General features: G+C 50.6%; 1 protein-coding gene across 5 annotated transcripts in view, besides 2 other annotated features; it reads right to left on the bottom strand.

Annotated features, from left to right (window-relative positions):
- AMPD3 (adenosine monophosphate deaminase 3) overlaps positions 1–20,141 on the bottom strand; it is a 57,192-nt gene that overhangs the window by 9,957 nt on the left and 27,094 nt on the right. For 4 of the 5 annotated variants that reach the window (NM_000480.3, NM_001025389.2, NM_001025390.2 and 1 more), the window contains exons 3-10: positions 18,893–19,097; positions 15,398–15,560; positions 12,584–12,803; positions 10,259–10,388; positions 4,080–4,274; positions 2,593–2,724; positions 1,890–2,053; positions 685–811 (exon numbers count right to left, since the gene is read on the bottom strand). In NM_000480.3, the coding sequence (NP_000471.1) occupies positions 685–811; positions 1,890–2,053; positions 2,593–2,724; positions 4,080–4,274; positions 10,259–10,388; positions 12,584–12,803; positions 15,398–15,560; positions 18,893–19,097 (1,336 nt within the window). The remainder of the gene's footprint in view (positions 1–684; positions 812–1,889; positions 2,054–2,592; positions 2,725–4,079; positions 4,275–10,258; positions 10,389–12,583; positions 12,804–15,397; positions 15,561–18,892; positions 19,098–20,141) is intronic. The other variant, NM_001172431.2, reaches the window with a different exon arrangement.
- Positions 8,680–9,584: an enhancer, noted in NCBI's record as "H3K27ac-H3K4me1 hESC enhancer chr11:10509586-10510490 (GRCh37/hg19 assembly coordinates)". NCBI's record gives its function as "activates a minimal SCP1, AML or CMV promoter by ChIP-STARR-seq in naive H9 embryonic stem cells {active_cell/tissue: H9 hESC(naive)}" and the evidence as "EXISTENCE:reporter gene assay evidence [ECO:0000049][PMID:30033119]".
- Positions 18,378–18,877: an enhancer, noted in NCBI's record as "H3K4me1 hESC enhancer chr11:10500293-10500792 (GRCh37/hg19 assembly coordinates)". NCBI's record gives its function as "activates a minimal SCP1, AML or CMV promoter by ChIP-STARR-seq in naive H9 embryonic stem cells {active_cell/tissue: H9 hESC(naive)}" and the evidence as "EXISTENCE:reporter gene assay evidence [ECO:0000049][PMID:30033119]".

The following is a 20,141-nucleotide window of genomic DNA, read 5'->3' as shown; positions in this document are numbered from 1 at the left end:
GGCACACAGACTCAATTCTTTCCCCGTGCCCCAGCCCTCGGGCTCCCCGCTGTGCCTCTCCCTGTAGAAAGTCATCCATCACCAGGCACTGGCCTGTATCACCATCTGATACCCCCTCGATCCCAGGCATCCGGAGGGTGGGACCGGCTCCCGCCCCCTCCGCCTCCCTCCCTGGTTAAGCCTCTCCCAGACTGCTCCTCTCCTTCTCCTACAACTGGATCCGGAAGGGAAATACACTTTAGGGGCTTGTACTTAATCACACATGGTGTGAGGGCCTCTGTTGCGAGGTAAAGCAGGTGAATTGAAGTGTTTGCATTTCCGAAAAAAAAACCTGAGGCTGCTGCTTGGTGCTGCCGGGGGCTAGATCCAGCCTTTCCAGCCCCACCTGGCAGGAACCGAGTTCCCAGTCTTTGCCCACTGTTGCCTTCCCTGCTGGGGGAAAGGCCTACCCCAAGACCACCACCCCCATCCCCCCACACCCACTGACTCCCAGAGCTGCCCCTGAGGAGAAGGGGACTTTTTAGAAATCTAGCTTCTTGGGGCTGGTGACCCCACGCCTGGAACACAGGTGGCAGGACCTAAGATACCATCGTGAAGGGCAGGAGCAAGCCTGACCCAGCTCACAGCGAATCCATTCCTGCCTCTGCCGCTATGAGCCCTGCCTAGGGCACCACCCACACTTACATATTTAAGGAAGAGGTGAAGCTCTCGATGATCTTGGGGGTTGATAGTGGCCTTGAAAAGGGGCAGGAAGATGTTCTCCAGCATCTTCCCAAAGTTTGGCAGCAGCTTCTTTGACCTAAATATGTCACTGGGGGACAGCAAAGACTCGCTTGTCAGGTGGATCCAACAGCCTGCTGCCCTGTCAGAGACCAGCCCCAGTCACTTCCTCAGGCACCCTGTGTCCCCATCAAACACCCAGAATCAAGTCAGATGGGACCAGAAAACAGATCCCTCCTCTGTCCTCCTCTCCCAGCAATGTCTGCAATATTCTGCCTTGGTTTGCAAGCTCCACACCTACCCATGCCCATCAGAGCACTTTCTCAAGCCAGAAGCCACTAGGAATGGGATGGTGGCATTCTGGCTGACCAAGAGACTGAGATATGAATCCTCAAATTCCCAGTGACCCAAACATTCTGTTACTCAGCTCTGTTTCCCTAAACCACATACCCCAGCCCATCCTGGAGCCATGGGCTCCACCCTGGCCAGCCGCCTGGAGAGGACAGCAGCCGTCTGAGTGACATCCAGGGAGAGGCCAGCAATGTAGACCACTACAGCTCTCCCCATACCCTGGGGCTCACCAAAAGGACAATCCATCCTCAACCCACAATGAGAAGAAGGCGGGGGTAGTAGTTCCCCCAAGGCCTTTGCACATCTATATTTTTCAAAGATCAAGAGTTCTAGTGTCAGCTGGATGCAGTGGCTCACACCTGTAATCCCAGCATTTTGGGAGGCTGAGGCAGGTGGATCACGAGGTCAGGAGTTCAAGACCAGCCTGGCCAAGATGGTGAAACCCCATCTCTACTAAAAATATAAAAATTGGCCAGACGTGGTGGCGGGTGCCTGTAATCCCAGCTACTCGGGAGGCTGAGGCAAAGAATTGCTTGAATCAGGGAGGTGGAGGTTGCAGTGAGCCAAGATCATGCCACTGCACTCAGAGCCTGGGTGACAGAGTGAGACTCTGTCTCAAAAAAAAAAAAAAAAAAGAGCTCTAGTGTCATGCAGACATCTTTTTCATCACTCCTTCTATGGAAAAATCCCTGGAAAGGACAAGCGTAAGCTGGCACCAGAACAGGCCCTACCCCTCAGGAGTGCAGACTCAGCAGCCCATGAGGGACAGATTGTCACCTCTGTAGGGCACAGGGTAGACAGCGGGCCACCTCACTTACTAAATCCGGGGCACCTGGATGATCCAGCGCATGTTGGGAGAGTAGACCTTGTGCTGGATGAACCAGTAGGCCAGGTTGGGCCACTCCTCAGGACTGCGGCCGTAGATGGAGAGCCGTGGCTCTGAGTACTGGTACTTGCTCTCCTCCAGCTCCCGGGCAACCTCCTGGCACAAGAAGAGCTTGGGTCAGCCCCAGTGCATCCCAGCTACATGGGAGACTCTCACTCTCCGTCACCAGCAGGGTCCTGTTGCTCCCCCAGCCACCTTGCTCCCAGGCTGGAAGCACTCATCTAAATCCCCAGGGCTGCCTGCTCCTGTAAGCTCTTGTTCCACTTTAGGAGAGGCCCCCTCTGGTGAGGAAGGCCTTGGGTCTGCAGAACCAGGCCACAGCAGAAGCATCTCCACACGGAGCTCATCTGCACCCAGCTAGGTTCAGGCTGCAGAGACACGAAAGCCAGGCCAGGTGCTGTGAGCTTGGCCAAGGTGGATACCCTTCCCTCCTCTTTCCTGCAGTTGGCACATGCAGCACTGCCTGGAGCAGGCAGCCAGACCACAGCACTGGGCACCTGGGCACCTCACCCTTCCCTGAGCTGATGGTACACAGAGGGAGGGGAAGGGGCCAGGGGCACACAGGGCCCCCACTCTCTGAAGGCAGATGTTGGGAGGCACCTGAGAGGCCTCAGAGAGACTGAGGGTTCACTCACCTTGACCATCCGAGCAAAGTACTCTCCTCCCAGATAGTTTTCAGTTTTCAAATACAGGTCACGCAGCTCACTGGCCCCCACAGGGTTGTATTTGGAGTTGAACTTGTCAAAGCGGTGGAATGTCTGCCGGCCCTGAGGGGGGAGACCACACCAATCAACGCATCGTTCTGCAGCCACCATGCACGTTCCCCTCTCTAGACCTTTACGAGGCGGCCTTCTGTATGGCCACACCGAAAGACATCTTCTATGTCAATTCTTGCATGAAACCTTAGAAACTCCTGAGCACCAGGACCATGGATCCTCACTCGGTCAGCTTGGGATCCTTTGGCAAGGCCCCCTGTGAAGGAACAGCAGAGGCCCCACCTGCAAGTTACCACAGCTCGGCTCAGGACATGGCTGACTTAGTGAGCAGAGAGGCTGCACCACTGAATAATAGAACATTCCCTATCACTACTCACATTTTGTAAAGCACTTTCTCCACATTATATCATTCAATGTTTTGTTTAACAAAAGTTTTTTTTGTTCTAATAAAGCATGTACAACACAACGTTTACCATTTCAACCATTTTTAACCATACAGTTCCAGTGGCTTTAAGTACATTGACATTGTTGTGCAACCATCACCACTAACCATTTCCAGAACTTTTTTATCATCCCAAACAAACTCTATACCCACTAAACACTAACTTCCCATACCTTCCTCTCCCCAGCCCCTGGTAGCTTCTACTCTCCTTTCTGTTTCTATGAATTTGCCTATTCTAGGGACCTTATATCAGTGGAATCATATGATATTTGTCCTTTTGTGTCTGGCTTCGATTTAGTATAATCTTTTGAAAAATCCATTCATGGTTGTTGCATGTACAGTACTTGACTCCCTTTTATGGCTGAATGATATTCCGTTGTATGGATATACCACATTTTGTTTACCCATTCATCTGTTGATGAACACCGGCTGTTTCTATCTGTTGGCTGCTATGAATAATACTGCTATGAACATTGGTATGTGAGTATCTGTTCAAGTTCCTGCTTTCAGTTCTTTTGGGTATATACCTAGAAATGAATTGCTGAGGCATAGGTAATTCTATACTTAACTTTTTTAGGAACTACCATACTGTTTTCCATAGCAGTTACACCATCATTTAGTGTTTTAATATTTTTTTAAGTTAATAAGGCACATGGCTGTCACCATTTTATAGGCAAGGAAATAAAGGCTTCTGTGAGTTGCCTAAGGGCACAAAACTCCTAAGTGGCAGGAGTGGGATTAGTGCTTAGACCTGTCAGGCCCCAAGCCACACACCCTCTTTCCCTGTCCCATGGCTGCCCCAGACCTGTTATTCTCTGAGGCCGCATGACCTCTCAGTCAGATAGAAGAGAAAGCTGCTTCCGTAGCACCTCCCGGCAAGCACAATCATGGTGGCTTTCCAGGGGGCTGAGTCCCCAGCCAGGGCTGCTGTCTGCTGGCGGCACTGGAGCAGAAGCTCACTCACCGCGTGGACATCCAGTGAGTCCACAGTGAGGTCGTAGGGGTCCATGTGCAGGCCGTCAAACACCTGCCGCAGGGTGATCTTCCGGCCCCGCTTCTCTGCCACAGTCCTGTCAGGCTCCGTCTGGTATGTGTGCTTGATGAAGCGCAGCAGATGCTTTTGGTTCATGCAGGCGGCCGCATGGATGTGTGTGTCCACCTGGAACACAGCGCCCACCAGGCCCTGAGTCAGGCCACCTCCCCTAGCAACAAGAGTTAAGACATCCAACCCTCAATGTGCACAGAACCCCAGCACCTCATGGGCCATCCGGGCAGCCCCACCAGTGTCTGGATCCCACCCCCCATTTCTCCTCCAGACTTCGGAACTGGTATCCCTCCCTTTCAGCCTTGCTGCGCATTCCACCTCCTTACAGCACCAGGAAATCTTTTTAAAATGCAGATTGGATCAGGCCATTCCCCAGTTAACAAATGACCTATGGGCCCATCAGTCTCAAGATAAAGCCCAAGCACCTTGGCCTGAGATTCAAGGCTTATTTCAAGCCTTAACTCTCGCCTTGCCACTGCCCCATTCTGTGCTGCAGCCGTGACAAACCACTTACGGGTACACCACACACCAAGGTACAGTACACTGCATCCCTTTGCCCACGTGTTTCTTCAGTCTGGAATGCCCTCCTTTCTCTCCACCATCTCATCCACCTAGAAATTTCCCACAACCTCCTCCATTTGGGAGCCAACCTTGTTCCTCCAAGCACAACTGAATGCTCTTTCCCTTGCCCAACCTCAAAACCTGGCACAGGCATCCCATTGTTGTGCAGACCGTCCCGATCACTCTAACGTTTGTGTGTCTACGCTTTCACTAGACTGGGAGCTCCTCAAGGACAAGGGCCATGTTTGATGCCTCTAAGTCTTCAGCACCTACCCCAGAGCCTAGTACAAAGTCGAACCAATGGATGAATGAATGAACAAATTAACAGGTACGACAGGTTCTCACAGTTTTAGTGATAACCCTGAGGGCCCATCAAATCCCACTCTTCCCATTGATCCCTCTCAGAACCCTCAGAGCATTCCCAAAGCAAACCTCCAAGTGGGAATGAATGAAAAGAACAGACACTAAAGGCCAAGCCTCCAAACACACCCTTCCTTGACTAGTTACACCTCACCCAAACTCCAGGGCATCCAAGTCCCAAGAAGAAGCCACTCTACTGGAAGCCGCTCTACTGACCCTAAGCCAACATATGGACTCAAGCTGTGGGGCCCAAGGCCAAAGATCTTAGAGCAAATCCTAAGAAGCAGAAATGAACAGTCAGCTTAGACTTCTCCCCACATTCCAGGGAAAGGCAGTTTTTTGCAGAAGGCACCTTTGCAGAAGGAGCCCAGCAAGGTCTCAAAACACCTCATGGGATTTCTCATGCCCTCTATATCATGCTAAGTCCTGTGATACCAGACCGACCCCTTGCATCTCTGTCCTCTCCTTTTCAGCCTCCTTAGTCAGCTCATCCTCACTACCAGACCTCTTAATAATGGAATTTCTTGATGCCTGGTCCTGGGCCCTCTTGTCCTCTCACTATAAATTCTCTCCAAAGGTGATCTGTTCCATTTCTGTGCATTTAATTATTTTCCTTATACCAATTCCCAAATTTATGCCACCAGCCAAAAGCTCCAGAACTGTACATACTATTGCCTTCTTGATATCTCTATCTGGATAACCCAAAGGCAGTTCAAATTTAATATATCCAAAAGTGGACTCTCCATCTCTGACCCCAGCCCAAACCTGATTTTCTCCCAGATTCTGGAATCCCAGGAAATGGTGTGTCCTGAATCCAGCTGGTCATGCTGAAAAACTGGGAGTCATCCTTGGCCTTCCTACTACTCCCTTCCCTCAGTGAGTCTCATCAGTTCTACCTTCCAAATGGATGTCAAATCCATACAATATTCTCCAACCTCACTGCCACCACGGGAGTTCAAGCCTGCATGTTCTCAGGCCTGAATTCACAGTGACCTCCTAACTGGTCTTGTTCCTTTTTCTTGTGCTCTGGTTCAATTCATTCTCCATACACAGAAGCTAGAAGGGATTCTTTAAATGTAATTTGATTCTGTTACTGAACCCTCTTCATTAATCTTAGGATGAGGGCTCTGCTAATATTGCCTGGATCCTACCCATCTCCCCAACCCCTCATCCCCAGTCTGCCTTTTCACTGTGCTTCACTCATAGGACAACCACAAGCCCTAAGGAAATGAAGCCCCAGCTAAGCTGAGGGATGGCCTCAAGTCACTATGGGTAAACTGACTCCCCCTCCCTGAGCACAAGGGACCTATGGGAGCTCCGGGGGAGGACGACAGCAGCCTCAAGGCCAGGCTGCTGACAGCCATTAGACCACACTCTGGAGCTACTGCTGCGGCCGACTGGGCGCTCAGCCCGGGCTGGGGTGAGGAGGCGGCTGACCTCAGGGCAGGGAATGCTGTCCACGGCTGGCTGAGCATCTCCAAGTAATGCCAAACCAGATATTTGATCCACTGGACCTCTGTGAGCATTATGCCAGCCAGCCCATGTCGTTAGCCACAGCACTCACTCATCAGCATCCTTCCTGCCATTAATCTTGCCATTCTTACCAGAAAGACAGACCACTGGACACTGGGGAAACAAAGCAAAGCAGAAAACTAAAACATCCCCAAAGCCCAGGCTCCTCAGAGATGAGGCTGGGCTCACGTGGGATGCACAAAAGAAGGTCAGCCTGGCTCAGCTCAGCTGGACACAGCTTGGTACAATGACCTCAGCATGACTCAGCGGATTCTGGGCTTTCTGGTCCTGTCCTCTGGCTTACCAATGACACACCACAGGGGGGTCAGCCTGTCCTTACCCCCATGAGTCACAAGATAAATGAGGAAAACAACTGGACAATCCAGGAAGCACCCCATCCAAACTTCAGAACTCAAGGGTGATTATTTTAGGAACAAAATAATTGAAGGTCATTGGAGGTCAGTGTTTTCAGTTCACCAGAGGATCCAAGTGCATTCCCCGTGTTCACCTAAGACCTCAGATGTAAAGAAAGAGCAGAGTTTCCAGACCTGGGACCTAAGCCAACATTGACCATTTCCATACCCATGGCAGGCATCAATAATCGAACACAGCACTCTTTTCACTAAGCTTTAGGGGTGGCCCCTAATTGGTCAGGTTTGGCACAGAAGGTAAAACCTATTTGCTATTCTTAATATGACACTTAAACCACAGTGGATGTCACCTACTTCTACCCAATTCCCAAGCAGCAAACACACTCAGCTCTTCTGTCTTGCTTCTGCATAGAAAACAAGTGTCTCAGTCACACAGTCCTGCTGGCTGGGCCTCGGGGTGTCTCAGCCCTTCACCTGCTGTAGTGTGACAGGTGCCTTCACAGATACCACCCACACAGATCCACGGCCACGTCGCAGCTCCTGCCTCAGACCACAGCCCTTGTCTGCCCCAGGGACACCAATAGCCACTTTAGACATACGGAGGCCATCATCCAGCCCATTCTGGATTTTAGAAAGCAGCTCTCCTCCCCATAGTAGAGGCTATGAGAGTGCTATCAAGGCCAGGTGTGGTGACCCACGCCTGTAATCTCAGCACTTTGGGAGGCCAAGGCAGGCAGATCACCTGAGGCTGAGAGTTCGGGGCCAGCCTGGGCAATATGGCAAAACCCCATCTCTACTAAAAATACAAAAATTAGCCAGGAGTGGTGCCAGGCACCTATAATCCCAGCTACTCGGGAGGCTGAGGCAGGAGAATCACTTGAACCCAGGAGGCTGAGGTTGCAGTGAGCTGAGATTGTACCACTGCACTCCAGCCTGGGCAACAAGAGCAAAACTTCATCTCAAAAAAAAAAAAGAGAGACAGAGTGCTATCAAGTAGGCAGCACCCAGGGGCGGGCACAGACCTGACTCATAGCAGACCTGCGCCCATGTTTATGGACTGACTGTGGTGCCTAAGAACAGGCCACTGGGTCATAGATATCAAGGTCATCTCTGTCCAGAGAAAACATTAACCCCAAGACTGCAGGAGAACCCTGGGGATAGGCTCTGATTTGTTACCCTAGCCCCACGCCAGGACTGTTTCTCATGTTGTGGCCAGAGGGCAGCTGGTAGACCCAGGAACACCCACTGGGGCCCCACCTTAGAAGAAAACAGTGTCAGTGCCAGCACAGCCAGTGAGGACACCTTGGCCCCAGGCAGCAGGAAGCAGGTAAGCCCAGAGCATTCACGTATGCTCAGGGCAGGGCTGCATCGGGCTGGGCAAGGCGTTTCTTTGAACACGGGCCTGGGCATGTGCTAGGCGTGTGAAGTTCTTTGGGCAGGGCTGAGAGGAGTTCACACAGTGATGGAGGCATCCACCTGTCTGAACGCCTAAGCCTCACAGAGAAGGAACAAATGGTGCTTGAAGGTGAAAATGCCAGGGTGCCCACGTAAGTGGTGTCTAAAACACCTTTCACTTCTGCCTGGAAATCCCCAAAACACTTCTGTAAGCCTCTCAGGGCACATGAGCTGAAGCCAAACTCTCACTTCTTAAAGCTCTTGATCCCATCCAAGTGGGAGTCTGTGTTGGACCCCTGGCGTGTAACAGAAGTGGTCTTAGGGCCTCCAGGTAGGGTCTTCCATCTGCATTGCTGATATGCTCCCAGCCAGGGGGTCAGGGAGGCTGGAGCTGGGCTTTCCCAGAGGAGCCACATCCTCCCCTGGCCTACCCTCCCTTATCAAAGCTGACCCCAAAAAGAAGAAGTCCCCAAGAGGTTCCCAGCTGGGACAGAGCTCCTGTGGAGATGGCAACCCCACTGTGACTCCACCCAGCTTTAGCCATCCCTCCTCCAAGCAAAGCCTGATCCCGACTCTTCCCCCAGGAGCTTCTCTCCCAGCTCGCCACCACACCCCGGCCCACCTCCCTGCCTTCTGTGGGAAACCCACAGCCCCTGCATGATCCAGGACCTCCCCACATCTCTGCAGCCTTACTCTCCCCACAACCCGCTGCTCCCCGCTCCCAATGCCTGAGCTCCAACCACACCACACTGCTTGCAGTTATGTCAACACACTGTTCTGACTCTCTCGACTCTCTCATACCATCCCTCCCTCCTGACATTTGCACATCACGTGCCTCTACCTGGAATGCCACCACTTCCATTCCCCTACCACACCCTCTGCCTGGCAAGCTCCTACTCACTCTAAGTCAGCTCAGTTCTGGCCTCTCCCTCAAAGCCACCTGGTTGACAGGAAGTGACTCTTGCTCACCATCAAACACCCCCTGCCTAGCACTGACCCTGTGCCTCACTGCACAGCGCTTCAGCAAAAGAGAATGGAAAGGCTAGGGCCATGATCATTTAACCTTCGCTCCTACCGCAGTTGCGGCCCCTGCAGGCGGAGACTGCCAGGAGCCCCGGACAAGGCTGCCATCCCCTTGGTGGGAGAAGAGAGGCAGAGATCTGAGCATATCAGAGGCTTTTCTTTAAATCCACATGATCCCGAAGGATGCAAAACCACAAACTCCCATCTCCAGAGAGATCTTTTTTTTTTTTCAGGGAATTTAAATTTTATTTTATTCACTTATTTATTTTGCTTTAAGTTCCAGGATACATGTGCAGGATGTGCAGGTTTGTTACATAGGTAAACGTGTGCCATGGTGGTTTGCTGCACCTATCAACCCGTCACCTAGGTATTAAGCCCAGCTGGAAGCCATCATCCTCAGCAAACTAACACAGGAAGAGAAAACCAAACACCGCATGTTCTCACTTATAAGGGAGCTGAACAATGAGAACACATGGACACAAGGAGGGGACCAAAGAGATCTTAACAGCTGTGTCTTTCTTTGATGACTCTAATACATCCCCTACCTTAAAAGTAGGCTGTGCTCAACTTTTATGACCAATTAATAGGCTGTGCCCTATTTTCCAAGGAAGAGGGCACATCCCAACAGATATACAATGCGGACAAATGTTTCCACCTAGAGTGATTCAAGTGCTGTCTGAGGCCCAGCCTGACACAAATGCAGCTCACCCATCTTCCTTCTGCACATATGCTTCATACCCCTCTGGCCACGAAGGCCGCCCTTAGCAAGGAGCCCTGAAGTTCTCACAGGGGACAAGCCTCAGACTGGCTCAGGGCATCCCATGGGCTGGGAGGGGGACCGGGTGAGGCAGCTGTGAACACTCGCCCCTAACGCACCTTTCTCACGTTATAGAAGTCCCGGTGGGGGTTACTCTTCAACTCTTTGAACTCGGACATTTCGTTTAACATCTCATGAAGGCTGAACTTGGATTCCAGAAAGTTCAGTCGCCGGTGACAATAGGTTTTCCTGCAAGTTGGAGATGGGGAGAGACCATAGTTGAGTCGCATCGAGCTCTCCAGTTTGGAGGCCTCCAGCATCTGCAGGGGCCAACCCTGGCTGGAAGGGTCAGGACGGAGCAGGGCGGAATGAGGAGGTTCTGGCTTTCTACAGACCCTGCTGAACTGTTGAGTCATATCCACAGACTCTATAAAGTCAGTGGAGAGTCAGGAGATGGGGCAGTAGCAGGCCAGCTCTGGGACCTCATACAGGTGTTTTGACTTCTTGTTTATGTGTTTAGGGAATTAACCGCAAGCCTCCATTTCCCATGAGTAAATATCAGGTGGTAACACCCAAGGCTGAAGTAAGGGTTAAACTGGTTTATGCCTGGGAAAGGGCCTGAGTCCAAGCAGAGTGGATGCTCAGTGGAAGTCTCCCTCCTTCATCTCCTCCTTTCCTTCCTCTTTTCTATCCTCAGCCACTTGTCATTCCTTGAAGAAGGAGTTTGTTGCCCAGAGGATTGATAACACAGTCAAACTATAAGGCATGACCTGCCCACCTTGGGTTGCAGAGGAACCAGCCCCCTGACCTAATGGCCACGGCCCAAGGATCTCTCAACTCTGAGGCTTCACGACAAGAGGAGGATATTTTGCATCATGGGTGGATTGGGACTGTAGGGATATTTGTTACCGAGACAGAAATCTCTGTAAGGACTGATGCCCCCAGATTCCCACCAACTCAGAGAAGGGGCCCATGATTTATCAGCCAGCAAAGGCCTTTGGGGATGGGGGTGCTCACTGCTGTGGCCAACTGCCAGCCCACACACAGCCTAGGTGCCTAGCCACACACCTGCATCCACAGCCGCATGGAACCTTCGACCACAATTCACGCTACCCTGCTTCCTCAGGCCCCCAAAACAAACAGCAGCTTCCTTGGCATCTAATCACGTAGACTTCCATAAGAGCATCTGCCGGCACTGCAACAGCACAGTCATCCATCTGCCCAGACAAGCCCCAGAGTGGACGGAGCACAGGACAGCCTCAGAGTCGGAAGGGAGTTTAAAGGCCATCTCACTCAGTCTCTCTCCCTAGGCAGGATCCTCACAGCCTCCCAGATGGGACAGCCACTACTTGCACACCTGGCTGAGGACAGCCTCTGAGGAACCGCCCCTGCCCTTCCCATGCCTTAGTTCTGCCCTCAGATCAGGGAGGACTAAGAATCATGCTGCCCATCCACATTGGGCTCACTATGCTACTTTCGAGACTGGCATCACAAGATTCCCAGAAAACAAGAGAGAAGGTCCTCAGGAGTGACTAGCACCTCCTCTCACCCAGACTCCCACTCCCAGCACAGCCACTCTGAGGCTCACAGAGTCCAGGTATTACTGATCAGCCTAAGTGCCCACCAAGAAGTGAGGGGCCAAATTCAGAAAGATGGCTGCCCACCAGGTTAGCTGGAGCCAAGCCCACGAGCATCATGGTGCACCATGCCCATGAGCAAAGTTCCCCAGGCTCCCTGCATGCTCCCCTCCAGAAACCCAGAAAACTCAAGGCCTGAAGCAATGTCTTCATCACTCCTCACCAAATAGTTATGCTCTGGGCTGGTAACTCTCTGCAAGGCTGCTGTCCTGCCTGGGGAGAGGGATGACAGCCATTCAGAGGCACCCAGGTAGCTACCAGCAAGCAGAGGCTCCACACTATGCACGCAGAAGGGACAGGGAGGCCGGTCACAGTGGCTTACACTTGTAATCTCAGCACTTTGGGAGGCTGAGTTGGGTGCACTACCTGAGCTCTGGAGTTTGAGACCAGCCTAGGCAACATGGCAAAACCCCTGTCTCTACTAAAAATATAAAAAATTAGCCATGGTGGCACGTGCCTGTAGTCCCAGCTACTCAGGACGCTGAGGCAAGAGAATCACTTCAACCCAGGAGGCAGAGGTTGCAGTGAACCAAGATCGCACCACTGCACCCCAGCCTGGGCAACAGAGCAAGATGGTGCCTCAAAAACAAAAGAGGGGACAGGGAGTACCAAGTCAAAGGCTATGCCAGCTTATGAAGGAAAACTGTTGCAGAAACCCGCAAAGCACTGAGGAAAGGAGAAACCGCGCTCTTTCTGGGATGCTTTAAGTACAGGGGACCCCAGGGCAGAGGGGTGAGGCCTTTCTCATCTCCTTCCTACAGAACAGCACCTGTGCAAAGACAGGCAGCCGCGGAGAAGCTAGCTTACGTGGGGCCATCGGTGATGAGAGCCAGGATGTGGCTCATGTCCACCGTGTAGGTCTCCAGGTCGGGGTAGGGTAGGCTGTGCGGCTCCTGGTGCTCCAGCATCTTCTTGTTATCATACACAAAGAGGATGCCCCCCTGCATGTGGACCAAGTAATCCAGGTTGGGGGGTGCATCATCCAGGCAGTAGGGGTCTTCCTGGGGCAGTGGAGGAGGGTGGAAGTCTGCAAAACAGGATTGAGGGATGGCAAAGTGCCCCTGACCTTGTGAGCACACATGGGCTCAAAAGACACGGAGGCCTGCGCTGGCCTTCCTGCCCAAAATCCAACCCTGCGCCGGCCCCGCATCTCATATGCTCTTCCCTGCTTCCTTTTGTCTCGTCAGCACTTACCACCATGTCAAACCATGTCACTTCTTTATCTCAGATATGATGTCTTCTCCACTCCAATAGAAACTCCATGCAGGCAGAGACTTTAATTTGTGCTGTTCACTGCTGAGTGTCTAGAACAGTCCCTGGCACATGGCTAGCACTTCAACAATTTTTTAAAATTTAACTGAAATGGGCTTCATTTTCCTCGGCACTTCAGAGATTCCAGGAATATTAAAAAGAGCAGCGGTGTCTTCTCCCAGGAAAAAAACAGATTGCACCTGGACTGCCCAGTGGGAATAACTGTCCCGAGCCCAGGCCAGGTGAGGGGCTAGATAAAGAAGCCACTCCCTCCCCAAAGGAGCAAAGGATAGGGAACTTGTCTCCCCCAGAGCAGAGAATGCCAATGATAAAGCCATCTGCCCCCAACCACTATAGGTTAAGGTTAGAATTAGCCAACAGGAGGTAGAAAACTCCTCTATGCAATTTCCCTGCTGTGAGACTTTCAGCAAACTCCTTTACCTCTCTGAGCCTATCTCCTCTGAAGATAACACCCCCTGCCTTAACACGCTGCTGTGAGGGTTGCAATAGTGTGTATAGGAAAATTCTTCATAAACAGTAATGCACTACAAATAATGAATTATAGGATATTATTCTTATTATTCTCATAATTAGTTTTCCTGACTCTTGATAAACTCTGTCCCTGGCCAAGGAGTGTATTGATGCTAAATATCAGTAGAGCTGGAGGCTTCAACTCCATGCAGCTCAGCCAGCACCATCCAGGATCAGCTGTCCAGCTGCCAGCATAGGCAGGAGCAAACCTCAAGATCTGCATCAAAGGAAGCTGCCAAGGCAGAGTGACCTGCCTGGGCATCCTCCATCTGTGCTTGGAAGGAACAGACCATCCCTAGAGCACATGTGAGGAGCCACAGAGGGGCTGATGCAGGCAGAGCTGGAGAGGGGAATGCCCCATCAGGCACGGCCACAGGCCAGCTCAGGAGGCCCTAATGCAATGCAGTGGTCTGTGAGATGCAGGCAGTTCAAGGCCCGGGTGAAGCTACAGCCTGCATGTTCGGAAGTTGCTCCTCTTCCCCATACTCATGCCCAGAACCCAGGGGTCCTCTGTCCATGTAAAGTACACATTTGACAGTCATTTCTGTCTGTCTTTGCCAAAACTGGGGTGGTAGGACCCACTTCCCTCAGATAGGGAAATAGGCCCAAAGGGCTGAGATTTACCTAGGGCCCCAGATGCTCAAAGTACAGGACTTGAAATTCAAGGAAGCCAGAGACTGGGGCAACTTGGCACCACCAGCTACCCCCAGAGGCAGCCAGGGTCCCAGGCATTGATGGAGACCACCAGGCCCTTATGTGTCCCCCACCACCAACTTTCAGGAGTGGGGTTTCCTACTGTCCTCATCACTGCCTCTACTGCTCCTAGGTTCTTCATGGCAAGGCTTCATGAGGAAACCACCTAGCCCTCTCCGACCTCCCCTTCCCTGAACTCGGCAGCATAAATGTAGCTACCATTTATTGAACACTCACTAGATGCCAGAACTGAACTAAGTACTTCACATGCATTCTCCTGTTTAATCCTCACGACAGCCCTGGGAGATAGGTATTATTTGCATTTCCATTTACAGATTACATTTTACAAAGTGAGGCTTAGAGAAATATCTTTCCCAAAATCCCAAGAAATTGACAGAGCCCAGATACAAATGCAGGTGTGTTTGACACCAGAGCCTACATGTCTTCCCAGGGAACATGCCCTCTGTTCCTACTCCCACCCCGATCCACCCTACCACCAATTTGGCATTTACTGTGTGATTGTGTTCTTTTAAATATGCCACATGAGGCCAGGCGCAGTGACTCACATCTATAATCCCAGCACTTTGGGAGGCCAAGGCAGGAGGATCACTTGAGCCCAGGAGTTTAAGACCAGCCTGGGCAACATGGTAAGACCCCCATCTCTACAAAACATAATAATATATATTTTTTTAATTAGCTGGGTGTGGCGGTGTGTGCCTTTGATCCCAGCTACTTGAGAGGCTGAGGTGGTAGGATTGCTTGAGCCCAGGAGATTGAGGCTGCAGTGAGCCATGATTGCACCACTGCATGCCAGCCTGAGCAACAGAGCAAGACCCATCTCAAAAAAAAAGAAAAAAAAAATTCCCACATGAGACTCCCTGTCTCCCTGGTGGACTCCCAAGAACAAGGACTGTCTTTCACATCTCTGTCTTGACTTCAACAGTTCAGCTCTGCACAGGCTAGGCATACAGTACACATAGAATCAATCCTTGGGGGAACCATCAAACATCAGTGTGGGAGAAGCCAATGAAAGAACATTGTCATTTTAAAATACTATCAGGGGAAATAGACCGAGCCAGAAAAAAGCCCTGACTAGCTCTCGGTCTGCCCACACTTGGGACCCAACCTCCAGCCAGAGCTCCATACCTGGAAGGCCCTCTTCCGGAGGTGCAGTATCCGCCCGCGGATGACCCAGGTACTGGGATGTGATCCGCGGGAAGCGGTGGTAGGCGAGCCGCGCATACTTCTCCCGGATCATTAGGGCCTTGGCCAGACTCTTGGCTGCCTGCTCATAGTCCTCCAAAGTGATCTGCAGAAGGGAGGCAGGCAGGAAAGGGTTCATGCAGCAGGCCTGAGACTGCCATCCTTGGAAAGATGTGCTTGCAAGATTGGCCCTTGCCTGGTATCTGGGAACCTAGATTTCAGGAGGGTTCTCACCACTCCTTGACCAATAAGAGTGGTTCATTGCACCTAAACTACTTGTACAAACAATATGGTTTATGTTGGACACCTGCTTTCCTTCTGGAGCCTGGAATTTGAGATGTGCTATGCAGACATGTGACCAGCCCCAGTGAAAACCCTGGGCACCGAATCTCTAATGAGCTTCCCTGGTAAACAACACTTCCCACATGTGCTGTCACAATGTGATGCTGGAGGTATTTGGTATGTTCTGATGACTCTGCTGGGAGAGGACCTTGGAAGCTTGCACCTCGTATCCTCCATGTATCGCTCCCTTTGCTGATTTGCTCTGTATCCTTTCACTGTAATAAATCAAAGCTGTAAGTACAGCTATATGCTGAGTCCTGTGAGTCCTCCTGGTGAATCATCCAACCTGGAGTGGTCTTGGAGACCCCCAACACAGGAGACACAGGAGGAGTTAGGGTCGTTGGAAGACAGACAAGTGCTCCAGCCTGCACACCCAGAAGCCGGCCTCACATGCAGCTAATTAAGCCAAAAGTCTGTTTTTGTACCAGGCCCATGGAGGGACAAAGCCTGAGTCCTATCCCTGAAGGCGATGAGCACCGTCATTTTCAGTTGAGAAAATTCATGTGTCCTTCAGATGGCGAAACAAAACAAGAAGCAAAAGCAAATTCTGCATGCTCAGCCTGCTTCTTTGCCAACCCCACACTTCTGATTAACTCTGTTAATCACCCAACTCATCCAGGCAACAAGCCCCATTGTCATGTGTTATGTGCCAGACCTTTCCATAGATTTCATTTTGCTCCTTACAGCAACCCATTTTGCAAATGGGAAAACTGAGGCCCAGAGAGGATAAATCACTTGCCAGGAAGCTACAGAGTCAAATTTCAGACTCTAACCTGATTGAGTCCCAAAGTCTAAGGATGTTCTGCTTTACCAGAGCAGCCTCATATTCAAAGATGAATGAGATAAATTCCCGCCTTCCAACAGGCTCATTAATCTTAGTCTGTTTGGGAAGGATGGGAATCGCAGAAATATGCTTGGGGAGACAAGTGGCCAGACAGACACAATGCAGGGTAAGGGGAACAGCAGAGGGAGGCACCATATGCTGGCATAGCCCAGAGTGGGGAGGGCTGGGGCCTGAAAGTGATCTCCTCTGCTTTAATAAAATCATCATTTTTAATTTTGTAATATTTTAAACATACAGACAGGCACCAAAGATAATATAACCTACCTTCTAGAGCTGACAATAATATTTAGCATAATTCTTTCAAATTTCTCACAGGTTTAAAGAAATAAATCATCACAGATACAGCTAAAACTCTACTCTCCTCCCTACCCCATCCTCAGAGGGAAGAAGTCTGAATATATTTTTCCTATGCATGTTTTTATACTTTTACTAAATACTACTAAGAAGTAGTATTTAGTAAATACTAAATACAAAAAGCAAGACTTTTTGTTACGATGGTAGATTCTCCTTTCCTGCCTCCAAATGTCCCCATAAGGTATGTTAATTCCTTTTACATCTTCCAGTGGATGGCTTCTGAGAGCGGCAGGAATAGGTGAGCAGACACCGACATCCTAGACAAAAATATGTCCCTGCCAACAACGAAGCCAAATTCTTTCTCTGGGGAACCAATGGACTCAGCATGACAAGGGGCTCATGCCATGGCTAAGGACATCAGAGAGGATGCTCAGGACCCCTGTGGACCCGTGGCCACCGGCCAAGCTTACAGGCATCACAGGCCCCATGGCTGACAGCAGACCTACTGCGTGCCAAGGAGATCTGCAAGATCAGCCTGCCTCTCACAGACACTTAGCTTTCTGAGGACCAGTTGCCCAGTTCAGGTGCTCCATGCACTACTCTGTGCCAGCCAGGAGACTGGGAGAAAGAAGCTATTATATGCTACAGGCTGACATCCTCCCATTCAGCTGGTGGCCGACCCACCTCGACTCTTGCTTTCCAATGCCCTGCCCACCTGCCTCAGGTTGGGTGAACACCAAAGACTCATGGTCAGGATGCTGATCTCCAGACAAGGCCTGCATTGTTTCCAACCCAACCTAAACTCCCATCCATGGGAACTTAATTAAAATAAGCTATGATATATCCTCATAAAGGAATACTATGTACATATTTTTTAAAAGGACAAAGAAGTTCTTTATATATTGATATGGCATTATCTTTAAGATGTATTGTTAAGTGGAAAATGCAAGATGCAGTATAATGTATATTGTAAACTACCATTTTTGTAAAAATAAGTAAATAAACTATGTATGCATAAATAATTGTAGGTACATAGACCATATATGTGAGAATACATAAGAAACTAAAACCAGTGGTTGCCTCTGAGGAGGAGAATGGGTGGCTGAATAATTGATACCATTTTTGTATCTTTTAAATTTTGTACCATCTGCAAGTGTTCTCCATTACACATAACCAAAAAAATTTTTGAAAGCTAGGGGAAATTTTATAGGAAGAGCAATAAGCTGCATTGCTTTCTCAGATTCACCATATTTTCTACAGCTACTGTTAAAAAGAGACTAATGAAGCCAACTGAGGCGTTAAGTAGTGAGTTGGGGCCAGGGAGATGGAGCCAAACTTAACCCTGGCACTAACTCAGTGATATTTCTCTCCAAGAAGCAGACATGCATAAAAAATGCATCATCCAATCAGGTGAAATTAGCACATTTTCAGTGACTGCGTTAATTGACTTAGTGTAAACCAATTTGCTCAATTTCTAAACAAGATTCTCTCTTCCTGGTTGAAGGGATCTAGCCTATATTTAAGGGTATTGAACCTACATATAAGAAGAGATGATTTAGCAACAACTAATTTCACACAAACCACTCAGTACCATGGCTTTGAATCTACTAAACATTTGGCAACACTGAAAGGCCCAAGCTGGCACCTTTCTCAACAGGCTACAGGGACCAATTCCAGCTTTCTGGACTTAGAGAACATGTGGAACTTACGAGTCACAGACACAGTGTGCCAGCCTGCACCCCGGGACCCTCCTCACGGGGAACAGGCAGCCACCGAGACACCACACCCACACCCCACAACCTCTGCTAGGGCCCTCCTTGTCTCCTGTGCCTCCTCTTCACCTTCTCCCAGACATCCACGGACAGGGCCAGGCTCCAGAGGGAGGCACGACCCTGTGGCCCATGGGGCCCCTGGCCTTTGCATGCAAGGCACATTCAACACTCTCACAGACGCCTTACCCCGGCACAGTAATCTCCGCTGATGGTGACCCGCTGGAACTCAGGCATGGCATAGGGTGCTGGCGTGGGCAGGGAAGTGGCTCCAGTGACCACAGGGGTTGTGGGAGACATGGCCGGACTGGCTGCCGGGGGGCCCTTCCAATCTTGCTGTGGCGGCATTTGCAGAGACAGGGACTGGGACCGAATCATCTTGAAACTTTTCTTTCTAAGAGCCAAGGACAAGGAAAAGTGGGAGACATCAGAAGCTAATTGGGGTGAGTGATAAAGACTCTTTGCTGTGTGCGTGGCAGGAGAATTTTGCTATGATTAATCACTGGTGCTGGCCCTACCATTAAGAAGTTTCTAATTATTCATGCCTTCCTCTTACACATGTCTGCCTGAGATAGAACACGGCCCTCCAGACACCCCTACCTGTGGTCACCATGCACTGCTCAGGGCTGTTTGCACAGCCCACAGAAGATTAAAGCAGGCAAATGCCCTAGGAGACAGAGAGACAAATGGCAGACCACATGGCAGGGGCTCTAAAACCACAGGGCACTAGAGGGGAGGACAATAGCAAATCATGCAGGCTTTCCCCACAGTGTGGACAGCATGCTGGCTTCAGATAACACAAACTCTCAGTCCCAACATATGAACGGTCTCAGAAAGGACCAGGAATAGGGTCACAGAGAGACAATCACACTGCATTTCACACAGTTAGACATTTGGGGCATTGGAGCCAGAAGAGAGAGGGATGCTCAATGAATCCAATCTCCTTGTTTTACAAAGGAGTCGAGACAGTGCTCAGGACCGTGGACTAGCGACCGCCATCCAAGCTTACAGGCATCATAGGCCCCATGGCTGGCAGCAGACCTACTGGGTGCCAAGGAGATCTGCAAGATCAGCCTACTTCTCACAGACACTTTCCCAGAGATGGGAAAGGGCTGGCACAAAGTCACACGGCCCATGGCACAGTGGCTGCTCCACCCAGCCTCCAGCCCTGCTGCTCCCTCCTCTAGCCCGCCGTGTACCATCCTGACTGCCGCTGCTAGAGCAGGCACAGATATGTACCTCTGTTTGGGGAGAGGGATTGATCGGCACCAAATTCAGGTCCCTCTGGACCTGTTGCCTTGGCACCAAAAGATGATTACACTGGCTCTTGGGCCCAAGGTTGGTTTAAAATGCCACAAGCCCATGCTTATTTGCAAGGCTGATTTGTGATGACTCTACCTTCCTCATTCATGAAACAGACATCAGATTATGTCACTGC

This window comes from Homo sapiens, chromosome 11, assembly GCF_000001405.40.
Source record: "Homo sapiens chromosome 11, GRCh38.p14 Primary Assembly".
In the NCBI taxonomy this organism is placed as follows: domain Eukaryota; kingdom Metazoa; phylum Chordata; class Mammalia; order Primates; family Hominidae; genus Homo; species Homo sapiens.
Note: the sequence above shows the minus strand (reverse complement) of the source record. Positions and strands in the feature narration are given on the sequence as shown.